Genomic DNA, 27,504 nt, shown 5'->3' with positions numbered 1-27,504 from the left:
TAGAAAAGGAGAAAATGAATAGGAAGAAATTATAACCAAAACTATATTGGAAAGTTACCTTAAATTGAAGTTTCCATGAAAAAAAGGTCCACTTACTGTCCAAAAATGTTAATACAAAAGACCTACATCAAGAGCATAACTATAAAATTTATAAATATCTAGGTAAAGAGAAGATTTCCAAAACCTTTCAAAAGAAAAACATCAAGAATCAGAGTATAAAACTTTTCAACAGCAGCACTAGAGTCTGGAAAATAATGGAATCTTCATTATCCTTCAAAGTTCTCAGGCAAATTTATTTTAGACTGAAATTCTGTATCCAGTCATACACCAATCAAGTGTGAGGATGAAATAAAGGGCATTCTTAGGTATGAAAAAAATCAGAATATTTATTTTCCTTATATTCTTTCTTAGAAAACTCCTGAGAGACATGTTGCATCAAAACAAGGGAGTAAATCAAGACATAGGTAGAAGTGAAACCCAGTAGCCAGAGATCTAACACAGAGACACAATACAAGTTTTCTGGTTAATGAGAGGATGACAGTTCTACAACAGACCCAGACTGGAGAAGGCAAGCAAGGGGTCTCAGAGGGATGAGTTCAAGGGAAAAAAACTGCTGCTATATTTCCTGTCATGTTTGGTTATTCTGAGAGAGTTTAAGAGTTCTATGGAAGAATTTGGTAAAGAATTAGCATATAAAAATCAATTCAACTATCAACTGCGGAGAAAAAAGGCTATACAAGAAAGGAGATGTAAGGCCAGGCATGGTGGCTCACACCTGTAATCCCAGCACTTTGGGAGGCTGAGGGGGGTGGATCACCTGAGGTCAGGAGTTCAAGACCAGCCTGGTCAACATGGTGAAACCCCATCTCTACTAAAAATACAAAAATTAGCCAGGCATGGTGGTGCATGCCTGTAGTCTCAGCTACATGGGAGGCTGAGGCAGGAGAATTGCTTGAACCCGGGAGGCAAATGTCGCAGTGAGCCGAGATTGTGCCAATGCACTCCAGCCTGGGTGACAGAGCGAGAGTCCGTCTCAAAAAAAAAGGGAAAAAAAAGAAAAGGATATGTAATCATAGTATACTACGTGATTCTCTTGTGAATAATATTTTCATGGTCATAATTGTATGAACGCTGATTACGGGCTTAAACATTCCTATAACCAAATTAGGAAAGCAGAAGGAGTGTTAAGTCCTTCTTTTCCATAGGAAGATGTTAATAATAACATTTAACTTTGAAAACTCGAGAAATAGTAGCATAAGCACGTTATTTACAAATGTGGAGTTAAACATAAAGATAAAAAGCTATAAAAATAATTTAAAGAAGTTACCTTTGGGGAGCAGGACTTGAAGGAGCGAAAGGTTAGGGCAGAGAGATGCTTTTTCGTTACAACAAGATAGCACCATTTGACTTCCCTTTTTCTGGTAACTCTATTTTTTTTTAAATTTTGTTCTGAAATATTTTAGAGTTTAAAAAACACAAAAGAACAATACAATGAGCATACTTGTACTTAGCATACTTGTACTTAATACCATTATAACACAAATCCTGATCATGTCTGCCTTCTCCCCTTCATCCCATTGCTCCAGAGGCCAATTAAACAATTTAAACTATATACATATATTAAAACAGTAAATAATAATATTTCTGAAACAAGATTTATAACTGGGATGAGCTTTAAATGCAAAGGAAGTATGTATCTACTTAGATCCTATAAGTTCCTCAGCTATGCCATATAAATTTTGTTTAGGATATGGACAAGGAAGATTTAGAAAGGTGTATCGATTGAGGAGTTAACATTTGGGAAGAAAGGGAAGAAAATTTTAATAATTGGTAGAAGAAAAGGGGAGGACAAGTGAGGGAGGACATTGCTGTAACTAAGACTGTTCCTTCATCTAAAAGTAGCCCAAGTAAAGAAGAATATATTGAAATTAATCCAAAAGGCTCTCACTAACTATATTCTCACTTCTGATGTTAATTTTGGCCTTCATCATCCATGACCTCTATGACTCTTCATCTTCCCAGTCAGCTGTCTTGTCCATGAGACCCTCCATCCCATCTTCCATAGCTGTCTACATATGTATTTTGTTCCAGTCAGGCCAGATTTCCTGCAGCTTATTTCTGCTGTGTTACCTCCTTCCCATGGCCTCTTTGCACTCATACTTCTTCTTCCTTCCTCTGTAAATCCAAATTCTACACATTCTCCAAAACCCAGAGCAAGCCCTAGTGCAAGCCCCAGTGCAGGCTGTATTTAACTTGCATAAAACCTCAAGGCCACACTCATAAGCAATGATCTGCCTTTGGCCCTTCTTAGTCTTTACAATCTGCACTGTGTATTTGCCCACTTGCCTCCTTTTTGTCCTACATTAATTTCTGTATGTGTCTGAATTCTCCAACAAGATTGCATTCACAGGGGCAGGCAAACAGTAGGAATTCAATAAACATTTGAAGTTTATCTTAGTTAATAAGGGTAATCTGACTCCTGATTCATTTGTCTTTTTATGATAACATCCTACCAAGATATTCTGAGATTGCCTTCAAAAGAAAACTTTGCAAGGAAAAAAAAATAACTTGGAGGCTCACTTCCCAGTATATTCAATTCAGTAATAAGCACTAACTGTGTTTACTAAACAATTGCAGGCCAAGATTACAAAATCAGCTCAGTCAAAAAAAAAAAAAAAAAAAAGCAAATCATGACACACTTTATGGCAAGTGTCCCTTTCTGTTATTAATTAAATGATGATACAAGCCAATTCATGCCACGTCTCACTATTATTTTCTAAATTCTGTGCTAACAGAACCGGCTTCAGCTGAAGAAAGAGAGGAATGAAGCGCCTTCTGCTTCTGTTTTTGTTCTTTATAACATTTTCTTCTGCATTTCCCTTAGTCCGGATGACGGAAAATGAAGAAAATATGCAACTGGCTCAGGTACTGTCTTAATAAATGATATCGATGACTATTGATAAAAAGCTTATTTTATTGATTCTCTTGGGACCTAAAAAGAAAACACATTCCTGCAAAAGAGTCCTGAACTTTTTTGTGAGAAGGAACTGCTTTTCATTTGTCTATCTCTGACGATATCAGGAAATTGTGTTGGGGAGGAGGGCTGGCACAGGGAGGGGGAAAGGATCTGCTATAACTTTTAGCAATGGTCACAAATGAAGGGATGTTTAGTGCGAGGAGAAAGGAGAGAGCCCTGCAAGGTATGGAGATCACTATAAAAGCATTTCAAGACAACCAGGAGGACCCAATCTACAATTTGGAGCCCTAATCCCTATATGTATGAAAAAAAATACATTGCTTTACAGATTCCCTCTAAAAATCAGTTCAGTTAACTTTTTATTTTTGGTTAAAGCAAATACATGTGCAAAATGGATAATCACTTATTTATCCTAGAACTTGTTTCAAAGAAACACCAAAATGAAAGTAACAGCAAAAATATGTAAGATAGGTCATCATTCAACAGACAGACGAAGCTTCATTCTCTTCTGTGGAGGTTTAAGAGCTGCGTGCTTTGGCTAATTCTGGTCACTCATAAGTCAACCAAGTCTTGGAAATTGAAAGAGCAGGGTGACTCGTTATTTTCCTCTTTGTGTCCTTCCTTTCTTCTTTCCTCCTTCACTCCTCACTTTCTCTCATTACTTCTTTTTTTTCCCCTTTCCTATTGCCAGAAGGAATTTTAGGCAATTTTGCTTTATCCTGAGATGGAGATTTGCTCTCCTGTAGTCTGTGCCTCTTTTTTTTTTTTCTTATCTTTTTGGTCAGGCATATCTCAACCAGTTCTACTCTCTTGAAATAGAAGGGAATCATCTTGTTCAAAGCAAGAATAGGAGTCTCATAGATGACAAAATTCGGGAAATGCAAGCATTTTTTGGATTGACAGTGACTGGAAAACTGGACTCAAACACCCTTGAGATCATGAAGACACCCAGGTGTGGGGTGCCTGATGTGGGCCAGTATGGCTACACCCTCCCTGGGTGGAGAAAATACAACCTCACCTACAGGTAATGCTTCTGCCAGCTTATTTCCGCCTAATCCAAAGGAACATAAAGATAATTTCCAAGGAACAGAATAATATTCATTCAATTGACTGAGCACTTCCTGTGTGCACAGCACATCTTAGGCTCCATTTACGGTATCTTCCCAACAAACCTGTGCTGTAGGCTCTGCTGCTACCACCATCTTAAATACAGAGAAACTGAAACAAAAGTTTATTTACCGTGGCTGAGGTTACACAGCTCTTACTGGCTCCAGCAGACATGCTCTCATCTCTAGCCTCTGCCACCATCATATAAGCTCCCAACAAATACTGTCATCTGACTGCAGATACTTGACAGCATGAATGAAGGGTGCCCAAGAGAAAATGGGGAGACCCTGGAACACAACCAGTTTATGTCAGAGACATGTGTGTGTGAGAGAGAGAGTTGCCAAATCTCAGATGAGCCCCTCAGAGCAAAGTAGGGTGTTTCCCTCAGACATCTCAAGGAAAAGGGGGCAGGCTGACTCATTGGCAGGAAGAGGATGAGGTATGCCTTTGATCTGAGACAGAGACAGTCACCTTGACCATCACTCTACAGCCTTTCTGATAGTTCTTCTTTCATCTTACTGAGTGCTAGGACTTGAGATAAAAATGAATTTAGCAAGATAGGCAACATAAACGAGAAAAATCTTTTCCTGAGCAATTCTTGTGGTTCTCATGTAAGATTCTTAATATATGGACTGGGTGTGGTGGCTCATGCCTGTAATCCCAGCACTTTGGGAGGCTGAGGCAGACGGATCACCTGAGTTCAGGAGTTTGAGACCAGCCTGGCAAACGTGGCAAAACCCCATCTCTACTAAAAAACACAAAAATTAGCTGGGCCTGGTGGCACGCGCCTGTAGTCCCAGCTACTCAGGAGGCTGAGGCATGAGAATCACTTGAACCTGGGAGGCAGAGGTTGCAGTGAGCCGAGGTCGCGCCACTGCACTCCAGCCTGGGGGACAGAGCGAGACTCTGTCTCAAAAAAAAAAAAGTTCTTAATATATGGTACATGCACAAGACTGATTTCTACAAGCCATTCAAAAAAATGATTCTCAGTTCTTTTTAAGAATGTCTTTATAATACTTTCATATACAAGCCAACACGTACATGAGATAAATGCTGTCTTGGGATGTGATCTTAGTGAAGTCATTTAACCTCTTTCAGCCTCCTTTGTTGAAGTGTTAATACTACTGATTCATAGGGAAGATAAAGGAATTTAATTCTATAGTATATGTAAGAGTATTTCATTTAAATAAAGTGCTAATGCAACTGTAAGATAATTGCACCACACCAAAGTTACTGCAGCACATTATTGATAAGCTAGAAATGTTTTTTGTAGTTATGTGTGTATATTCATGCATGAATAAGCCAGAAATTGACATATTTTTGTTAATTTTTAAGAATAATAAACTATACTCCGGATATGGCACGAGCTGCTGTGGATGAGGCTATCCAAGAAGGTTTAGAAGTGTGGAGCAAAGTCACTCCACTAAAATTCACCAAGATTTCAAAGGGGATTGCAGACATCATGATTGCCTTTAGGACTCGAGGTAAGGTTTTCAACAGAGAGCAAAGCTATTTTTATCTCAGGAGATTTGAGGAAGCTGATCTTTTTTCCTCGCATAAATTGTATCTCAGTCCATGGTCGGTGTCCTCGCTATTTTGATGGTCCCTTGGGAGTGCTTGGCCATGCCTTTCCTCCTGGTCCGGGTCTGGGTGGTGACACTCATTTTGATGAGGATGAAAACTGGACCAAGGATGGAGCAGGTGAGTCTAATTTTCTTTATGAACAAAATCTTATTATTCTAAAGAATCCCTGAAAAGAATAGCTTTGTAACTAGCTGCTTTTTAACTGTAAAGTTCCCAATGTCCCCACAATTTTCCATATTCCAAGATGACCTTGATGGAAGTGTTCAATACACCCTCATAAAGTGGCTACTTCTACTATGATCAGAGCAGTCTTCATTATTTATACATTCATTCATACACCCATAATGTCTGAGGGGCCACTGTGTGCCCGGAACTATACAAGGTGTCCTATGGACCCCAAAGTTGTACTAGAAAAGTGTAAGCCTTCAGAGGTTCATGATCCTGTGTGGTACACAAGGCCAGCCCACATACCTGCCATATAAGGCAGAAGATGTTTTGTGTTGTACCAGTGGCAGAAGTCATCTGTTGCTTGAGGATTGAAAGAAGACTCTAGGGAGGTGGTAATTTTGAGTTAGCAATTAAAGGACAGTATATGGATTCATAGCCCATAGAGGCTCTAATTCAAAGCATGAACTTCCTCTTCTAACTCTTGCCCAGCTGCAAAGGAATCAGACCTTAATCCTTATATTTGACTTATTTCTTCAAACCAAGTAAGTTTATTTTATTTTTCTCAATGGGTCTGCCTGGCATTCAAGGTGTTTTACTACTGTTCTGACAAAAATATCAAACTGTACTATATTAACAGGTAGCAATGTAGGCCTCAAAGAAAAGAGCAAGCTCAATAGATTTTTGGGTCCCCCATTCTTTTGTTCTGTCATTGGCAATAGTTACCTTGGGTCTGGTGTCTAGCTTCCAGAGTCACAGGAAAGCACAGGTTGTAGTGGTCCTGATGGATAGTATACAAGGACACAGATCATTCCCGACCATGTATCTCCAGATAATCGGTCTAGATCAGCTTTGCACTTTCTGTGAAACTAAAAGTCTGTCACACAAAATGGTCCATGGCCACTCACTGCTCAGTCAGAACAGGTGATGCAACTGTTTTTCCAAGTGCCAGTGAAAAGGGCGAAAGTCAGTACTGGCTGAGGTTCAGGCAGCAGCAGGCAAAATCTGGGATTGGCTGCTGCCATTGCCACATGACTTAGCATCACAAGCAGACAAGAAATTGAAGGAGGTAAGATAACATTGTCACCCAAGCAAGAGAGGAAAGGAATGAACCATGTCTGTTGTGTATCTTCTGCTGAGACATGTTTCAATATTTCTTTGGTATTAGTCTGAAGACACTGCGGGTGTGTTTCACCAAACAGTTACAGGAAATATCCTAGCACTTGCCAAAATCAGAATGACTCCCCTTGCTCAGCCAGGCTTTACTTTCATAGCTAGAGGCAGAGATCAAAGATTTCACTATCCTTTTGTCTCTTAAATCCAATGCTAAGTAGCAGTTCCTCTTACCCATACTGCTTTAAGCCCTCTGCCAAGGGGGACATGTGGGGTAAGTTATTTTTTTTTAAGTCCGATGTATCTGGGTTCCACATCGGTAAGGCTCGCTTGAGCAAGGCAAGAGATAAATACAGTCCTCAACCAAGTTCTGGGTGGGCAACCAGGCAGCAGTTCCAAAAAGGATTGTCTTCTGACCACTTTATTTCAGTCCCTCAGAGTAGAAATTGTGGGCCCTCTGTGATCCAATTGTATAACTCTTAGTTCACTGACATTAAAGGGGAAAATACCTTCCTCTTCTCCAATGGAAACATAAAATATCAAGCAAACGTAATCTCCAACAAAATTGCAATTTTTAAAAAATAGGCAATTCAGCAATAACCTATATGATCACCTCTTTCATTGCAATGTGGAGGCTCTGTTTTATGGAAGGGTGGCAAAAATCTTGGTGTAACTTGCTTAAGAGCAACAGACACATCATCTGCCAATGATGCTATTAAGCTGCTTCCTCCGGGAAGAACAGGTCATCGCATGGGGATGTCAGAGGACTTTAAGCACATACAGAGATTTTCCTGAGAGTCTCTCAAAGCAAAGCCAGGTGCCAAGCCTATTGTGAGTGTGTGTGTGGCACACACGTGTGCACCAAACAACTGAACAGGCCTTACAGACTGCTACAGATGCAGTGTTGGGAAGGAGAAAAAGCAATGGTTTGTAGTTTGGCAGACACTGGTTCCTTTCAGGGCTTCCCATTGACCAGCTGAGGGACCCGGGGCAAGTCAAGTAATTTTCTTACTCTCTATTTCTTTGCCTGTAAAAGAGTAATGATGCTCTTCTTTTAGGAGGGTGAAATAAATTACCCTTACCCTAACTAGGTTAATAAAGGTGAAAACCCCTTTCAGAGCAGTTGTCCATAGTGAACACTCAGAAAGTGCTTGACATCAAAGATTCTGTTGACAATTGTTAGTATTGATGATGATAATGATAACTAGGGTGGAATTACATTCTAGGCATAAGGAAAAATATTTGAAAAGCTATGAATGTATAATGCACAAATTTGTCTATTTAGTCACATCTCCATGAGACAGAGACTTTTGTCATCTTTTACCTACAGCGTCATATGGCCAATAACAGTGTTGTCACATGAGAAATACTCTACAAATCATTGGTAAATAAAGTCACTCAATGATCATTTATTGAACATCCACTATGACTCAGGCTCTGTCATAAAAATGAAATATACCCTTGTATATAGGACACAGAAGCTGCCCTCCAGGGCTTCACTGTCTAAGGGACACATAGACAATTAAATGGCAACTAAAATCAGTAGGATCAGTACTGAGATAAAGGAAACTATGGCAATGTAATAGGTCCTCACAGAAGAAAGTCCAACCCAGACCCACAGGTCAGCAGAGGAAGCTATGTCAAGCCTGAGAACTGGAGGCTCAGCAGGAACTAAGAAGACAAAGTAGGGTGAAGAGGGTGAATAGGAGTGTTCTGAACAGAATAGCTCAATCCAACATAAGGAATAGAATTGTAGAAGACAAGGCTAAAATGGCGAATAGGATTCAGATTACAGAGGGTCTTGAAAGCCAGAATAAAGATCTGGACTTCATTTAGAAAATCTGAGCTTGAATTATTTTTCCCAACAGTCATTTTTCCAGTTCCTTGTCCAAAAGCACACACAGTGATATAGCCAGCCAGGCAAGGGGCAGCAACAAAGGCAAGAGCAGAAAAGTGTCAAAGACCATGACATAATTCTTTGCCCTTTTACGTTTGCTTCATGCAAACATCACTAGGCAAATTTCCATCAGGGAAGCTGAGGTTTTCCTTAGGCTCCATGCACTTAGTTGCAAAGCCAGGGATGGACTTTATGTATGTATGTATGTATTTATTTATTTATTTTTTGAGACCGGGTCTCACTCTGTCACCCAGGCTGGAGTGCAGTGGTGCGATCTCGGCTCACTACAACCTATGCCTATTGGACTCAAGCAATTCTCCTACCTCAGCCTCCCAAATAGCTTGGACTACAGGCACAGGTCACCTTGCCTGGCTAATTTTTTTTTTCTTTAGTAGAGACAGGGTTTCTCCATGTTACCCAGGCTGCTCTTGAACTCCTGAGCTCAAGATATCCACCCACCTTGGTCTCCCAAAGTGCTGAGATTACAAGAGTGAACCACCACGCCAGGCCCAAGAGGGTGGTCTTCTATACTTAGAGCCTTACAGACTAGTGGGAGAGGCAGACAAAGACAAAGGCAATTCTAACATGCCTGGTAAGACTTCTGGAAAGGGCACTATGGTCATGTTTAGGAAACACATCTAACCATTTTTGCATTAGACAACACTTGGACATCCATTAATCATTATTAAGCAGTCACAATCACTAGGAATAAAAGATAATTAAGACATGGTTCCTGTACTCAGGGTGACAGAAACAAACAATGCAGTCCTTACGGGCTATGACAGAATCAAGTGCTGAGTCTGTGGAAGCTGGAGCCATGCATTTAACTCAACCTGGATAAGACCTGGAGGGATAAGGGAAGTTACATGAAGGAAATAACTTTAGAGGGGAGTCCTGGGGAATAAATAGGATAGTTAAGCCAGGAGAAAGTGGAAGAGATATGTTATTAGCAAAGAGACAAAGGTATGAAGACATAGAGATTAGAAAGAACCTGACACAGATGAAAAATGCCAGCGATTTAACATAGTTAGCTTGCAGAATATGAAAATAAAATATAAGGCTGAAAATAGGCAGGGACTAGACCATGGAAGGTCATGTGAAGGTGTTTGGACTTTATCCTATAGCAATACAGAACCTCTGAAGAATAGAAGTAGGAGCAACATGATCACATATACTGTAGTCTAGCAACAACCCCAAACTGGTGGCTTCTTTTTTTTTTTAATATTATCCATTTCTGAGACACCGGTTTCAAGCCATTTTCTTACCCTAGGCTATATTTTTCCATGATGTGACTAGTACCAATTAAAGTTATGTGCCATTTAATCATATTTTGGTCAACTATGGACTATGGATATGACAGTGGTCCCATTCGATTATGATGGAGCTGAAAATTTCCTATCACCTAGTGATGTCACAGCACAACACATTACTCACATGTTTGTGGTGATGTTGATATAAACAAACTTACCGTGCTGCCAGTCATATAAAAGTTCAGCACATACAATTGTGTGAAGTACATAATACTTGATAATAAGCAACCATGTTACTGGTTTATGTATTTAATGTACTATACCTCTTATGGTTATTTTAGAATGTACTCCTACTTGTACAAAAAAAAAGAAAGAAAGAAAGAATAGGTAACTGTAAAACAGCCTCAGGCAGGCCCTTCAGGAGGGATTCCAGAAGAAGGCATCGTTATCCTAGGAGATGACAGCTCCATGCCTGTTATTGCCCCTGAAGACTTTCCAGTGGGACAAGATGTGGAGGTGGAAGACAGTAATACGGATGACCCTGATCAAAGGAAGGAAATATTTTTGTACAGCTGTACAACAAGTTTGTGTTTTAAGCTAAGTCACAATAAAGTCCAAAATTTTAAAAATTTAAAAGTTTAGGCCAGGTATGGTGGCTCACACCTGTAATCCCAGCACTTCGAAAGACCAAGCCGGAGGATTGCTTTAGCCTGGAGTTCAAGATCAGCCTGGGCAACATAGTGAGACCCCCATCTCTACAAAAATAAATAAGAAAATTAGCTGGACATGGTGGCATGCACCTGTAGTCCCAGCTGCACAGGAGGCTGAGGGAGGAGGATTGTCCAAGCCTAGGAGTTTGAAGCTGCAGTGAGCTGTAATCACACCACTCCAGCCTGGGCAACAGAGCAAGACCCTGCCTCAAAAAAAAAATTTATAAAGTAAAAAAGTTACTGTAAGCAAAAGTTAATTTATTATTGAAGAAAAATATTTTTAATTTGGTGTAGCTTAAGTGTCTAGTGTTTATACAGTCTACATAATGTACTGTAAGTCCTAGGCCTTCACATTCACTCACCACTCACTCACTGACTCACCCAGAGCAACTTCCAGTCCTGCAAGCTCCATTCATGGTAAGTGTCCTACATAGCTGTACTATTTTTTATCTTTTATACCATATTTTTACTGTACCTTCTCCATGTTCAGATATGTTTAGATAGACAAATGCTTACCATTGCGCTAAATAATTGCTTACCATTGTGCTACAATTGCCTATAATATTCAGTACAGTAACGTGCAATACAGGTTTGTAGCCTGGGAGCAAGAGGCTATACCATGTAACCTTGGTGTGTAGTGGGCTGTGCCATCTAGGTTTGTGTAAGTGCACCCTATAATGTTTGCTCAATGATGCATTTCTCAGAACATATCCATATCATTAAGCAACACATGACTTATTAGCATTGCAATACCTCCCAGATAAATGGTGGTACATATGAGAATTATCTGCTGTATAGCAAGCCTTTATTTCATTCCCCTTAGTTACTTTCTAATCTCAGATGCAGCCATTCTCTTTTTGATTAAGTCATGTGCTCGTGTTTTCCCTGTTATTATCAAGGATTCAACTTGTTTCTTGTGGCTGCTCATGAATTTGGTCATGCACTGGGGCTCTCTCACTCCAATGATCAAACAGCCTTGATGTTCCCAAATTATGTCTCCCTGGATCCCAGAAAATACCCACTTTCTCAGGATGATATCAATGGAATCCAGTCCATCTATGGTGAGCAAAATTATAAATCTCAATATATGTGAACTAAATAGGAAGCTTTTCAGAAAGGAAGTTAAGAAAATCACTTCTTGAAATATTATCATGAAGCAAATATCCACTTAGGTAAGACCCTTGTGTAGGCATATTTCTTCATGCCCTCTTAATTCATTGTGGTATTTTTTTTCTCATCAAAGGAGGTCTGCCTAAGGAACCTGCTAAGCCAAAGGAACCCACTATACCCCATGCCTGTGACCCTGACTTGACTTTTGACGCTATCACAACTTTCCGCAGAGAAGTAATGTTCTTTAAAGGCAGGTAAACTCATTTCTCTAAACACCTCAACTTCCTATGAAGATTTTTCTTTTCAAGAGATTTGAGGATAAAGAGGTAGTCATGGGGCTAGTGAAAATGTGTGCCTTTTATCTTCATTTTATAACTGCCTATACTGTTTGAATGCTTTACCATATGTGTGTCTCTTGTAGTTGTTTGATAAATTTTTAAATGTCTTTAAGGAATTTTAAAAATTGCCATTGCATAAGAAAGGGAAATAGAGTCCACTTTCAGTGACTTTTTGGCCAGAAGAGTCCACCAATCCCAGTGGCCTACTGAAGCCAACTTACACTCCGTTACAGGAGTCTATTGTTAAATTTTCAGGAATTTTGCAAACCAGTTCACATCACATAGGCAGCTTGAAATTGGCCATGGTTGGAGTATTTACATCTGAAAATCAGCAAATGATTAAAGTCATGTCTTCTTCCCACCTGGAGAGCCAGTTGTTAAACATGGGTCAGCACCTCACTGAACGTTTCTTAAAGTTGCATCAATAAAGTGTTAGCTGTAGTGGGAAATCCCTTCTCTCACTACAATTTATTGAACTTAAGTTACAGCATGGTGTGTCAGTTATGTAGACCATGACCATATTTTTATAGCAAAATACCAAGACATACACCATTGACAAAGATATAGGGGCAAAAGGAAAGAATATTTGAAATTGGACTCCTTTCACCCATGAATATATCGCGTTACAATCACATGTTATCACCACCATTCTCTGACCAGCAGAGGCCAAGAGCTACCCACCATGAATGTCACAGAGGAGTGGCCTGTATGTGGAGGGAAATGGAATATAAGGACTTTTCACGTCTCATTCATAGACTCAGAATTTTGCAGCCAGAAGGGAAATTCTGAAGAAGTATTTTCGCATGTCAGTGATTACATTTCTTTATTCCAGCAAGCATCTGCTTCAAAAAGTTCCTCTTAGGAATGCTTGGTGTTGGCTTAGAATGTTGGGTGTTGCTGCTTTGGCAAAAACAAAACCATTGAGCACTCAGAACTCAGAATAAGATTTCCATGATGAGTTTGCCACTCTACGGATCCAAGAGTGGGCACAAAGGCATGTCCTGGACTTGGAAGTCCCAAACTGAACTGAACTCACAATCACCTAAATTTACTGGGGAAAATTATGCTAATTATCTCAATTATTTGAGGAAGATACCAACCAATTAGCTAAAAGGCAAGCCTAAGATTACAAAATTCTCATTGACATGGAAATAGGCTGCATGTGTAAAGTGTTTTTTGTTTAACACAGGCACCTATGGAGGATCTATTATGATATCACGGATGTTGAGTTTGAATTAATTGCTTCATTCTGGCCATCTCTGCCAGCTGATCTGCAAGCTGCATACGAGAACCCCAGAGATAAGATTCTGGTTTTTAAAGGTAACCTGGCCCATCCCGATTCCTCTTCTCCCTCTGGCTGCCTGAACTAACCAGTGGATATTTTGGTGTAAGAAATAAAATCTTCATGCATGAGCCAAGGCGCAGGGCTTTTGCTCTCATCTTAGGTTCCTGTCGTAAAGAATATAAATAACCAGGATTCTCTGTGGCTGTGAAGATAAACACAATCCTAGTTGCACAGGGACTAAAATAAACCTGTGTGATAAAAACTAAAAAAGTCTCTTTTTCTGCCAAATAAAGGTAATTAATCTGTCTTTAATGTTCACTTTTTACTAAGGTTGCCAGATTTGGCAAATAAAAATATAGGACACTATAAATTTCAGATAAACAACAAATAATTTTTTGGTATATATATATATCCCTTAAAATATTTTGTATTTATTTATACCAAAAGTTAGTCATTGTTTACTTGAAATCAAATTTAACTGACATTTTCTGTTTAATGATCATGATCTTATCAGATTACTAGCCTTTGAGAGCACTTGGGGGCTGAAACTTAGGAGAACATGTCCAAACATACTTCATTTTAAAAATTTCAATTGACATAATAATTGTACATATTTATGGGGTACAATGTGATGTTTAAATACATATATGCATTGCTTACTTGATTGTTTTGACAGAGTTAGCCAATTAAAAGCAATCAATGCAATGAAACCAATTGACAAAGGTACGCATACTATTGACTTTTACAGGTATATATTATTTGTGTAATATAAATAATATGAGCAGCTAAAGAAAGTGGTAGGAATGAATGTGGACATAAGATTATTAAATCTCTAAGCACTGAAGCTAAAAGGAACTAGGTATCTAATGATTTTTAAATTTCTTGAGATACCTATTTCTCCCTCTAGAAAATAAATAATCACTCCTCTCTTCCTAGATGAAAACTTCTGGATGATCAGAGGATATGCTGTCTTGCCAGATTATCCCAAATCCATCCATACATTAGGTTTTCCAGGACGTGTGAAGAAAATAGATGCAGCCGTCTGTGATAAGACCACAAGAAAAACCTACTTCTTTGTGGGCATTTGGTGCTGGAGGTAAGTTTACAGACAATTGACACTTTGTTTTATTATGGAGAAAAATATTCACAATAGCATCACTTTGACACAGACAAAATTAAAATGAATCCATAATATTTTTTATTTTTTTATTTTTTTTGAGATGGAGTCTTGCTCTGTCTCCCAGGCTAGAGTGTAGTGCTGCAATCTCTGCTCACTGCAGCCTCGACCTCCTGCTTTCAAGAGATCCTCCTGTCTCAGCAACCCCCAAGTAACTGATACTACAGGCATGTGCCACCACGCCTGGCTAATTTTTGTACTTTTTGTAGAGATGGAGTTTCACCATGATTCTCAGTCTGGTCTCGAACTCCTGGGCTCAAGCGATCCACCCACCTCGGCCTCTCAAAGTGCTGGGATTACAGGCATGAGTCGCCACGCCCAGCCCATAGTCTTCTTAAAGTGAATAATGAAGGCAGTGGATGACATTTATCAAGCCGAAAGAGATCTCAATGAGTCTAATGACTTTCCTTCAATTTAAAAAAAAAGATAAGATAAAATAAAAAGTTGGTGATCCCAACCAAATTGCCAATGACACAAACATATCTAGTGAAAAATTTTGAAAGCTCCAAGCTCAGCCTTCAATCTGATGTAACGATTTCTCTGAATAGCATCAATCTAACATATGTTGTGCCCTTTTTCCCTGATCATTTCTTGTTTGGAAGATTCTATAAATGATTCAACCAAACATAATCTTTACTGTATTTTTATTATTGATCCAATTAGTTTTCCTCTACTATGCCTATGTATTCCCCACATCCCTGCTTGACTCTAAGTTGTGCGGTAGACAAATTAAGCTCCCCAAACCAAAGATCCGCTGGTATCCTTTCATATTCTTGTATGCAGGTTTGATGAAATGACCCAAACCATGGACAAAGGGTTCCCGCAGAGAGTGGTAAAACACTTTCCTGGAATCAGTATCCGTGTTGATGCTGCTTTCCAGTACAAAGGTAAGCATGGATGTCTCACTTATTGGGATACTTGAGAGACTGTGTTGACTGTGAAAAAAGACAGCACAAAAACTTAAATGCTTTTATTTTAATGCAATTTTGCTACTCTTAAGTATATACAATAATAAACATTAACCCCACAAACATTATCACAAACTGAATCCATAAATCCTGAATTATACTCTCTGTTATACTATCTCAAATCTATGTAAAAAGTACCAAATCCATTTTACTCATCATTGATAAGTAAAGACACCCCCTAAAGTGTGCGAAGTGACTAAGCACATGAACAAAACAATGATTCTCAAACTTTAATGTATGTACCTTAATGTACATAGCTTGGGGTTTGTGTGTGAAACAAAGTATTTGAGGCAGAATTGTGAGTGATACCTAAGAATCTGCAGTTTTAAAAGAACCTCAGGCAATGTAATGAATACAATCCAGCAACTATATCATCCAAGACAATGACCTAGACCATGGGGTAATCTAGAAATATCTTTGAGTGACATGATCTATTATTACAATGAAATCTAACACAGAACCTCAAAACCTAAAACAGATCAAAGTAGAACGGCTCTAAGAAAATGAGAATATAGAGACCAAGGCCATATCCACAGGGGCCTTTTCCTCCCCCTCACTGAGACACTTTGTTGAAGCCTAGTTTGAAAACCTCTGGCATAGACCACAGTCTGGCTAGAAAGGTAAAAAGTCCCTTGAAACTCACCCTTTATAACACTGGCTTCCTCCTTAGGGAAATAAAAATAATAGGATTTCCCACATGACAGTAGAAAACTAAAATGTATGTATGTGATTCCACAAATTTCTTCGTTCTCCATAATGTTATTTTTTTCCATGTTTATAAAATTTAAAAGTATGGAAGTATTATATAGTTATGAAAGATAACTAATCCTGATTCCCTGTCTCTAGGATTCTTCTTTTTCAGCCGTGGATCAAAGCAATTTGAATACGACATTAAGACAAAGAATATTACCCGAATCATGAGAACTAATACTTGGTTTCAATGCAAAGAACCAAAGAACTCCTCATTTGGTTTTGATATCAACAAGGAAAAAGCACATTCAGGAGGCATAAAGATATTGTATCATAAGAGTTTAAGCTTGTTTATTTTTGGTATTGTTCATTTGCTGAAAAACACTTCTATTTATCAATAAATTCATAGACCTAAAATAAACCTCAACAGGTCTTTTAATATAAATTCTGCTTCAAAATAGAATAAAACCATTCTTTAACAACAAGTTGCTGGTCCTAGTTCTAAATATCCAAATTCAATGGCCATTTTGAGCTGCCTGATTCTTTTAATAGGAAGTTATTATGTAGAAACAAAAATCTCTGACTGTACTTTAAGCCTATTTCATGCTTTGTGGACTTGGAGAAGACATGTCTTATAACTGAATACTGAAACATTTATTAAACCAATCTTTAGCATTCTATTTTGTCTGGACCTTTGGAGTTTAAGAGCCCCAATAAACTACAGTGCTCATCCCTATGCATGTTCTGAACCCATCAATCAAGTAAGTTACTCCACCTCCCAAAGAGAAGGGTGACAGCCTGGATAGATGCAGGGTGAGTTACGTTAGAGGTTATTCTCTGACAAGTAAGGAACTAGCAGAAGTAGGAGAGAAGTGTTCCCCCAGCCTCACAAACATTGACCAACGCCGTTAAACATTCCTTAGGGAATATAAAATTAAGTTTTCTGCACACTGATTTCAGACACAAGAAATGTGAGGATTTTCATCCTGTGTTTGTGGTATATGTGCATCATCTGAGCCTATGGGTAGAAAGTTTCTGTACTCTTTGTTCCATCATGGATTTGTTGACTTTCTAAATGCTTATGGCTTGATTTTATCATTATACCCTCAAAGTTAAGTGCTTAGCAAAGCTCTTAACAAAATTTTTGACCCAGAAAATGGGAGATTATCAGTGGAACTTGCTTCTGATGAGGTGATATATTGGGCATTACGTCAACTGATAGAAAATAGGCATAGAAAATCACACAAATTCCTACAGTTGGTCCCCACCCCCACTTCCCTGGAGTTCAGTGTTCCCAGTTGCCTAAAAGAAGAGGTGCATAAAAGAGTTATTCTATGTTTGAAACACAAAGTAAATTTTAAGAAGTACAGCTTAACACTCAGCAGGTAGTAGTTAGTAGTCTTTGTGAAAAAAATATATAGTGCTGGAATAATCAAATATCCATATGCATGAAAAAAGAATGTTGACCCCTACCTCACACTATTCACAAAAATTAATAAAAATGTGCCATAGACCTCTAAATATAAGAAATAAAATTATAAAACTTGCAAAAAATATTTTTTAAAAAAATTTTGGGACTTTGGACTAAGCAAAGATTTCTTAGGTAGAACATAAAAACTATTAACCATTAAAAAATGAATGAATTAAACTTTAACATTTAAAACCTTTGCTTTCAAAAAACAATATTGAAAGAATAAAAAGTTGGCTGGGCACAGTGGCTCCTGCCTGTAATCCCAGCACTTTGGGAGGCCAAGACAGGAAGATTGCGTGAGGCCAGAAGTTCAAGACTAGCCCAGCCAACATAGCAAGACCCTATTTCTATATAAAACATATAATTAAATAAAATTTTTTTTCCAGGCGTGGTGGCTCACACCTGTAATCCCAGCACTTTGGGAAGCTGAGGTGGGCGGATCATGAGGTCAGGAGATTGCGACCATCCTGGCTAACATGGTGAAACCCTGTGTCTACTAAAAATACGAAAATTAACTGGGCTTGGTGGTGCGCGCCTGCAGTCCCAGTACTCGGGGGGCTGAGGCAGGAGAATCGCTTGAACCAGGGAGGTGGAGGTTGCAGTGAGCCAAGATCGCGTAACTGCATTCCAGCCTCATGACAGAGTGAGACTCCATCTCAAAAACAAAACAAAACAAAACAAAACAAAACAAAACAAAACAAAACAAAAGAAAAAACTGCTGGGCTGGGCGCAGTGGCTCATGCCTGTAATCCTAGCACTTTGGGAAGCCAAGGCAGGTGGATCACAAGGTCAGGAGTTCAAGACCAGCCTGGCCAAGATGGTGAAACCCTGTCTCTACTAAAAATGCAAAAAATAATTAGCCAGGTGTGGTGGCAGGTGCCTGTAATCCCAACTACTCGGGAGGCTGAGGCAGGAGAATCGCTTGAACCCAGGGGGCAGAGGTTGCAGTCAGCTGAGATCACGCCACTGCACTCCAGCCTGGGCAACAGAGTGAGACTCCGCCTCAAAAAGAAAAATAAAAATTTAAAAGGATGAAAAGTCCAGCTATACACTGGGGAAAAAATATTTTCAAAACATATATCTGATAAAGGACTTGTATCTTAAATATATAAAGAATTCTTATAACTCATAGATAAGACAAACAGCTCATTTTTTTTTTTTTTTTTTGAGACAGGGTCTCACTCTGTTGCCAAGGCTGGAATGCAGTGGTGCAGTCTCAGCTCACTGCAACATCTGCCTCCGGGTCTCCAGCAATTCTCCCACCTCAGCCTCCCAAGTAGCTGGGATTACAGGCACACACCACCATGCCAGGTTAGTTTTTGTATTTTTTACAGAGATGGCATTTCACCGTGTTGCCCAGGCTGGGAACTCCTGGGCTCAAGTGATCCGCCCACCTCAGCCTCCAAAGTGCTGGGGTTACAAGCATGAGCCACCGCCCCTGCCATCCCCTCATTTTTTTAAAAACATTAATGAATGTTTATATTTTAAATTATTTATTTATTTATTTTTAGAAAGAGTCTTATTCTGTTACCCAGGCTGGAATGCAGTGGTGCGATCTTGGCTCACTGCAACCTTCGCCTCCCAGGTTCAAGAGATTCTGCCATCTCAGCCTCCCCAGTAGCTGGGATTATAGGCGCCCACCACCGCTCCCAGCTAATTTTTGTATTTTTAGTAGAGACGGGGTTTCACCATGTTGGCCAGGCTGGTCTCAAACTCCTGATCTCAAGTGATCTGTCTGCCTTGGCCTCCCAAAGTGCTGGGATTACAGGCATGAGCCACCGTGCCCGGCCTTATTTATTTATTTTGAGACACAGTCTCACTCTGCCTCCCAGGCTGGAGTGCAGTGGTGCCATCTCTGCTCACCGCAACCTCCACCTCCCAGGTTCAAGTGATTCTTGTGCCTCAGCCTCTTGAGTAGCTGGAATTACAGGTGTACACCACCACACCTAATTTTTGTATTTTCAGTGGAGACGAGGTTTTGCCATGTTGGCCAGGCTGGTCTCGAATTCCTGACCTCAAGTGATCCACTCATCTAGGCCTCCCAAAGTGCTGGGACTACAGGCATGAGCCACTGCACACAACCTCAGTTTTTTTTAATGCCCAAAATATTCACCATATGAGTAGTAAATTAGTACATGAAAAGATTTTTCTTTTTTTTTTTTGGAGATGGAGTCTCTCTCCGTTGCCCAGGCTGGAATGCAGTGGCGCGATCTCAGCTCACTGCAACCTCTGCCTCCTGGGTTCAAGCAATTCTCCTGTCTCAGCCTCCCGAGTAGCTGAGACTACAGGTGCACGCCACCACACCCAGCTAATTTTTGTATTTTTAGTAGAGACGGGGTTTCACCATGTTGGTCAAGATGGTCTCGATCTCTTGACCTCGTGATCTGCCCACCTCGGCCTCCCAAAGTGCTTGGATTACAGGTGTGAGCCACCACACCCAGCAAGATTTTTCAATATCATTAGTCATTAGGTAAGTGCTAAACCACAAGGAGATACTACTGAATACCCAGTAAAATGGTGAACATTCAATGGAGAAAGAAACATGCTCTGATAACATATTCTTAATGTTTGCTTTCAAAGGTGTGTTGCTGTGAAACTCTGCCATTCACTGAAATAAAGAGTTTATGATGCATTTTAAAATAAATAAATACATAAATAAGATGGTTAATATTTAAAAGCTGGCCAGGTGTGGTTGCTCATGCCTGTAATCCCAGCACTTTGGGAGGCCGAGGTGGGTGGATTGCTTGAGGCCAGGAGTTGGAGACCAACCTGAGCAACATGGTGAAACCCCATGTCTACTAAAACCACAAAAAATTAGCCAGGCGTGGTGGCATGCACCTGTAATCCCAGCTACTTGGAAGGCTGGGGCAGAAGAATCTCTTGAACCCGGGAGGTGGATGTTGCAGTGAGCCGAGATCATGCCACTGGAATGTTAACAAGGGAAAGAGAGAAAGAAAGCTCTCTGCCACAGAAAGGGTTCCCAAAAAAGGGTTTCCATTTCACAGTTGAATACAGAGACTTTTATAAGGAACCACTGAGTGTTGGGTGTCTCATTTGCATAAGGAGCAAATTTCTGGTCGCTCCACCCAGTCCTCCTAGTGTGCATGCAGGCCCTTAGCTTGAGTTACTCCATATTGTCTTTGTTTCCCTTACCGTGCATGTGTCAGGGGATAGCATTTTCCATTGCAGATAAGTCTGGGTAAGTCTCCTGTGTAGACTTTCTTATGTATGCAGCTGTGGGCATATCTTAGGCAAGCCCCCCTGTGAAAGTTCCCTTATCAGTGCTTGCATGCCGTTCTTTTGTTTGAAAGAAATCAATGGAGCATCCACCCTAACTGCCTGCCTGACTGGTTTCTTCCTTCCTCACTCAGTTTGGCAATTTATTATAAAATTAAACCCACACTTCTCCTGTGACCCAATGATCCTACTCTAAATGTTTACCCAAGAAGAATGAAAACCTGCCCAAATAAGTATTTGCACATAAATGTTCATGAAAGTTTTATTTATGATAGCTAAAATCTAGAAACAACCCAAATATCTATCAGTTGATGAATAGACAAACTGGAATGTCCATACTCAACAACAAAAAGGAAGAAATGACTGACACATGAAACAATATGGATGAATCCCAAAAGCAATATGGAAAGTGAATGAAACCAGATACAAAAGACTTCATGATATATGATTCCATTTATATGAAAAATTAGAGGAGACAAAACTATAGTAACAGAAAGCAGGTCACTGATTGCCAAAGGTGGGAAGTGGGAGGAGGGATTGACTACAAAGGATCATGAGTAAACTTTCTGGGGTGATAGAAATGTTCTATATCATGATTGTTGCAGTGGTGACACTAGTGTATATATATATAGGCTGTGCAAATAAAATTAGTGAATTGTATATGTTTACTCTACTTCGATAAAGTGGATTTTAAAAAGTAGTATGACTTACTACTTAACATGTAGTAGATTCTCAAATGTTGGTCAAGTTTGTTTTCTTTCCTTGTCCCTATTCTTGTTCTGTAGCACAAATACGTGTGATATTACAGTTAGGAGAGCACCAGAAATTGCACTCATTTTTGCTTATGGGCAGTTACTTTTTCCTGGATATATATTCTTAAAAATTGACCTGTAGGAGAGGACAAGATTCAACTATAAAAATAATCCTATTTCAAATTCAGTGGAAAATCTAAAAACACAGTTTTCAAAGCATATATGTTGAATATTAGAATTATATTAAAGATTTATAACTCAAAAAGTAGGTGATATCACTCATCCTTTAAGATTTAAATAAACTTGATTTCCAAAATCCAAAATCTTATGGAGTTTCTAATGCTCCCCATCAAACAATTAGAGGGAAAAATCTTATTAATATCCTTTGGCAAACCCACCTCCAAAATCGTCTCCCCACAGTGACCTCCCCACAGATGCCAACCTTCTGCTCTTCTGTCTGACCCCTCCCTTCTTTGACCTCTGGGAGGAACCCAAGTTCCTGTTTCTTTATCTTTCTTTTTAAATGTAAACTAGTTATGTAAACCTGTTTATTGTCTCATTTAAACATGTCATTATGGCCTCCCATTCCTTGGAAAAACAGCTTATCAAGGTATCTTTTCTCCTAGAAAAGAGCTTTAAAATAAGATATTTTGATTTCCATCTGCTAGCTTGGAGGCTGGGTAAGAGTATGAGCTTTCAACCCAGATTAGTTAGGCTCATTGAGCACTTCCTCTATTTATTCACCATGGAACCTGGGGAAAGTTCCTTCTCTGTGCTACAATTTCTCCATTTGTTAAATGAGGATGCTAACAGATCCAAGCTGTAGCCTGAACAATTGGCAACTGGTCACATGCGTCACTTACAATAAGTACTTGATGTAGTTAATGCGCAGTAAATGTGAGCCATCATTATTATAATTAGATATACTAAGCAATTTATTCTAAAGTAAAAACAATTGGGAAAACTAAAAATTAAGCTCAGAGTTTCTCAAAATTGGAAAAAAATATGGGCCAATTCTTTCTGTCCTATATCATACACTTACAGAAACAGACTAGCTGGAACAACAAACATAATTGACACTTGGCTTGTCCCTTCTGGTTTTCTTAAGGGCCTGCGATTACGTCTCAAAAGAAAGAAACAGCTTTAAAAACAAGCATGAACAAGACAGTGCTGGCAATAGTTATTCATTTTGGAGATTTGAACAGCTGAGGTGGAAAAGAAATGAATTCACACAGAAAGAATGTATTTGAATTTCTTCTTGCCTGAGGACAAAGACAGAAACTCATTACAACCTTCCTATTGTTTATCATGGGTGGACTCTCCTAATGAAAAAGGAATTAAAACGTGGGATTTGGTGACCTAAAAATATGTCATGGGTTTTACCTGAAATGAATCATTTTTCCCAGAAAATAACAGGATTTTTGTTGTTGTTTTTGTTCTTCAAGTTATTTGAAACACATGACATATTTTCAGGTTGAAATTCAGTGCTTTGTTTGTGTTTGAGTATAAAGAATCTCAGAGGAAGCTCAGTAGCCAAAACATATCTTTAACATACTTAAATTGGTCACCAAATCCTACATTTTAATTCCTTTTTCTTTTTAATTTAAAAAAGAGAGCTTTATTTCTCATAATGGATTGCAGTTTTCAGGGTGGCTGTTCTGACAGGCTGGGAAGTGTAGCCTCCAGCCAGAAGCTGGAAGCAGGCACTTTCTTAAAGTTTAAGTCTGTATTCACTCACCATCCAGAAATCTATCCAAAGTCATAAAGGAAATCAAAATCCAGATTTATTGATACAAATCAGTCCTAATTTGATCTCTAGGAGAGATCGAGAAAATGTGAACAAGGTAATCAACAATGAATTTAAGACTTTCTTAAAGTGAAAAGTTTCTGAAACAGAGAAATGTTTCAGTTTGACCACTATTTATAATTTTTATAGTATTTATCGCTTAATTGACCAATATGGTTTGGCTGTGTCCCCACCCAAATCTCATCTCCAATTGTAATCAGAATCATAATGCCCACATGTCAACGGAGGGACCTGATGGGAGGTGATTGGATCATGGGGGCGGCTTTCTCCATGCTATTCTCATGAGAGTGAGTGTGTTCCCACGAGATCTTATGGTTTTATAAGTGGTGGTTTCCCCTGCTCTCCCTCTCTCCTGACACCTTGTAAAGACGGTGCCTGCTTTCCATTCCACCATGATTGTAAGTTTCCTGAGGCCTCCCCAGCCCTGCAGAATTGTGAGTCAATTAAACCTTCTTTGTTTGTAAATTACCCAGTCTTGGGTAGTATCTTTATAGCAGTGTGAAAATGGACTAATACAATCATAAAGCCATATTTGGTTTTAATCTTGAGATTTATAAATTATTTTTGCTCAATTTTTCTGGATTATACTGTTCAATTTTGTTAGTAATAAATAGTGAAAGCATTTATTTTCAAAGTTATTTGATTTGTTCATTTTTTTGGATGAATCGAGTTCATAATTTTGGATTTTCTGAACTATTTTTAGGAACTTAGAAACAAAAAGAATAAAGTAGGAAGTGTTCAGCTGCACAAATGTATAAAAATGAAATGAAGAATAGCTGAGTCTAAAACCCCTCAGGAAATAAGATAGTAGGGTTTCAAAAAATTCACATATAAAAATGCATCATAAAATATAAGGTTCTTCAAATAAATGTGTTCTCAGAAATCTCGGTGGGTTAAAAAAAATCTCTCAAGATGGATTTCAGTTAAGATGTCAACCCTGTCATATTTCACATAAGAACTGCTTTTGTAGTAAATTGTTAGTCTCATTCATTCAATAGATATTTATTCAATGTCTGCTGTAAGTTAGACTCAATGTTGAGGCATATTTGTTTATCCAAAGAATATCTATTGATTGCCTACTATGTTTTAGGCACTGTTACAGGAGCTATGGACATAGTGAACAAAAGAGCAAAGCCCAAGCCTTGTGGATCTTACATTCTAGTCAAGTTAGAGAAACCAAAAATAGACAAAAAATTGTAAATATGTCAAGGAAGATAAATGCTCTGAGGGAAAATCGAGCAGACTGCCAGTGCTGGCCCTATTTGCCTCAGATTCATTCCTTGCCCTTCCAGGGCTGGGAACAGGGTGGTGGGTGCTTCCGCCTATGGTAGAGTGCAAGTCTCAGCATCAGTTCCTTCATCTGAAGGGAGACAGGAGGACAGGAGGAGGGAGGCACCAGGTAAGGAGGAAGGGAGACACCAGACGTAGCTCTGTCTCCCTCTCTTGGCAGCATCTTCCATGGGGCTGCATCTCTTCAGTGCTACAGCTTCCACCACAACCACTGTGGCGAGGTGATATGGATGCCTTTGTCCTTCCCTCCTAGGGGATTGTAGGTGTGAGCCACTCTGCCCAGTTCTAGAAAAATTTAAGCAGAAACAACATTATTTGACTTGTATTTTAGAAAAATCACTCTGACTGCTCTGAGGACAGTAAACCACAGGAGCAAAAAAGTAGGAACTGGATATCTGTTAGGAAGCTACTGCAACAATCCAGACAGCAGATGATGGTGGTAGCAAGTGAGAAATAGTCCGAGATTATATTTTGAAGGTAGAGATGACAAGATTTACTAACAGATTGGATGTGTGATGTGATATCAACAGAAAAGTCAGTTATAACCCAACTTTTTTTTCTGAACAAGTAGAAGAATGGAGCGTCCGTTCACTGCATTGATAAAGCACAGGGAAGGAACAACTTTGAAGAGAAATTCAAGATATCCAGTAGGCAGTTGCACAGATAAGTCTAAAGTATAGAGAAGAGTCTAAACATAGAGTTATAAATTTGGGAGTTGTCATTGTATAGAGATACAGGATTGGATTAGGTCATTTAGGTGGTGACCCAGAGAGACAAGAGAAAATTGAGGACTGACCCCTAATCATTAATTGACAGATTAAAGATCAATTTTGTTGTACATTTTCCTAATCCCCACAGCAATTCCATTTATGCATATGGGCACATTCTTCCTGTTGGGTGTCCATTCTCCATGCTGTGTGTCACTGAGCTCACTATTTCACTCTGCATGACTTACCAGGACTCTTAATCCTTCTAGTGGATTTTCCAAACCAGAGCAGGGGCATATCTTGCAGGATGAGGGATGGAGGGGTGGGAAGGAATTAGCCCCTAACTTTTCATATTTTAAATAAATAGAGGCCAGGCATAGCGGCTCATGCTTGTAATCCCAGCACTTTGGTGGGTCACATGAGGCCAGGAGTTTGAGACCAGCCTGGCCAACATGGTGAAACCCCGTCTCTACTAAAAATACAAAAAATAGCTGTAATCCCAGCTACCTGGGAGGCTGAGGCATGAGAATTGCTTGAACCTGGGAGGTGGAGGTTGCAGTGAGCCAAGATGGTGCCATTGCACTCCACCCTGGGTGACAGAGTGAGACCCTGTCTCAACCAAAAAATTAAAAATAAAGTAGAACATTCAAAAGTATATGAAATCATTCATGACATTAATGTAGGTCATGGTTGTATTTAGTAAATATACAAAAGATCATACATTTTTTGTTAATGTAGAAATATATACAAAATGAGAAAACTTTGATCCTACCATCTTGAGAAAGAGCTGTTGTCTACAATGTAGGAGAATGCTGCCTTACCTTCTGCCGAATGGTCTTTGAGCTGAGTTTCTTCGGGGCCTTGTGGGCTACAGAGACTTTATTTTAATGGGTATTATAAAGATTACTGGCATTTTTTTCTTTTTCTATAAGAATAGAACTTGTTTTAAGAAACAAAAAAAAGAATCAATTCAAAAATTTTATATTAGAGAAAATATTTCTTTCAAAAACTCACTTGACCATTTTCCACTTCAGTCATTGCATTCAAATTAGGAAAACATCCTACTTTGCAGACTTCACCCCTGGTGACAAGAACAACACATTTCAGAGTGGCATGCCTCCTCAGTGACAAACACTCATGTGAAAAATGAGTTTATTGTTAAGTCCTTATCTTTACTGTGAAAGACAGTTTATCTTCAAGCTAGTTCTATAAATAATCATCATAGTAATAACTATTTGCTAAACACAACATGCTATAGTTACTTTATGCTATCTTATTTATGCTACTGACAATTCTATAAGGGGTGGGCATTGTTGCCATTTAACAAATGGAGAAATGATGCTTACAGATTATTTTTGTTGCCCAAGGTCACATGATAAATGTTATAATTCAAATTCTGTCTTATATTTTTCTATTTTCATCTTCTTGTGGAATGTGAATGTTCTGATACTCTATCATGCCTCATACTCACCACCAACACTCAAAATTAAACAAAACAAAAAACCCTTCTACACATTTGTCTGCTTACCTATAAGAACCTGATTCTCCTGTTCACCCCCAAACTTGCAGCAGCACCCAGCAGGCTCAATTGCAATGTGTTTCCTGGTTCTTCTGCAACATGTTTTACCAAACTTCTAATTTCATGGTTGCTGTGGTTTATTTGCTCAATAAAGAAAAAAGAAGGAACACAGTTTATTCCCCATTAAGCAATCCAACAACACACCAAATGACAACCAATGGTAACACAGGTTATGCTGGACCTCATGCTGCCTGCATCAGTTCATGAAGACAGTCCTGCAGAATGCAGCTGTCAAAGAGACTCTGGGGAACTCTCCACCCTCTTGGCCTGGGATTCCCTTATTTCACAGT

The 27,504-nt window shown here is 39.1% G+C and overlaps 1 protein-coding gene and 1 long non-coding RNA gene across 6 annotated transcripts in view, besides 1 other annotated feature; one reads left to right on the top strand and one right to left on the bottom strand.

Moving 5' to 3' along the window:
- The first annotated feature begins 2,768 nt into the window (after window positions 1–2,768).
- Window positions 2,769–17,051, top strand: MMP27 (matrix metallopeptidase 27). Of its 5 annotated transcripts, none has more exons than XM_017018120.2 (10): window positions 2,769–2,925; window positions 3,763–4,001; window positions 5,420–5,568; window positions 5,657–5,785; window positions 11,703–11,864; window positions 12,050–12,167; window positions 13,441–13,571; window positions 14,473–14,632; window positions 15,497–15,600; window positions 16,528–17,051. In XM_017018120.2, the coding sequence occupies exons 1-10, from the start codon at window positions 2,824–2,826 to the stop codon at window positions 16,770–16,772; spliced, it is 1,539 nt and encodes a 512-aa protein (XP_016873609.1). In that variant the 5' UTR covers window positions 2,769–2,823; the 3' UTR covers window positions 16,773–17,051. The 5 variants fall into 5 exon arrangements, with proteins under 5 accessions (XP_016873609.1, NP_071405.2, XP_011541252.1 ...); NM_022122.3 differs by having other exon boundaries at window positions 12,047–12,167; XM_011542950.4 differs by lacking the exon at window positions 3,763–4,001 and having other exon boundaries at window positions 12,047–12,167.
- Window positions 17,052–21,325: 4,274 nt separating this feature from the next.
- MMP20-AS1 (MMP20 antisense RNA 1) overlaps window positions 21,326–27,504 on the bottom strand; it is a 46,089-nt gene continuing 39,910 nt past the window's right edge. Inside the window, exons 3-5 of the long non-coding RNA NR_183620.1 lie at window positions 27,164–27,298; window positions 26,650–26,716; window positions 21,326–25,213 (exon numbers count right to left, since the gene is read on the bottom strand). This is a non-coding gene — a long non-coding RNA (MMP20 antisense RNA 1). The remainder of the gene's footprint in view (window positions 25,214–26,649; window positions 26,717–27,163; window positions 27,299–27,504) is intronic.
- Window positions 22,055–22,224: an enhancer, noted in NCBI's record as "experimental_18685 CRE fragment used in MPRA reporter constructs". NCBI's record gives its function as "activates a minimal promoter by MPRAs in K562 erythroleukemia cells, with activity observed for the non-introgressed 11:102557130 variant allele {active_cell/tissue: K562}" and the evidence as "EXISTENCE:reporter gene assay evidence [ECO:0000049][PMID:34662402]".

The sequence above is a fragment of the Homo sapiens genome, chromosome 11 (genome assembly GCF_000001405.40).
Source record: "Homo sapiens chromosome 11, GRCh38.p14 Primary Assembly".
NCBI classification, from domain to species: domain Eukaryota; kingdom Metazoa; phylum Chordata; class Mammalia; order Primates; family Hominidae; genus Homo; species Homo sapiens.
Note: the sequence above shows the minus strand (reverse complement) of the source record. Positions and strands in the feature narration are given on the sequence as shown.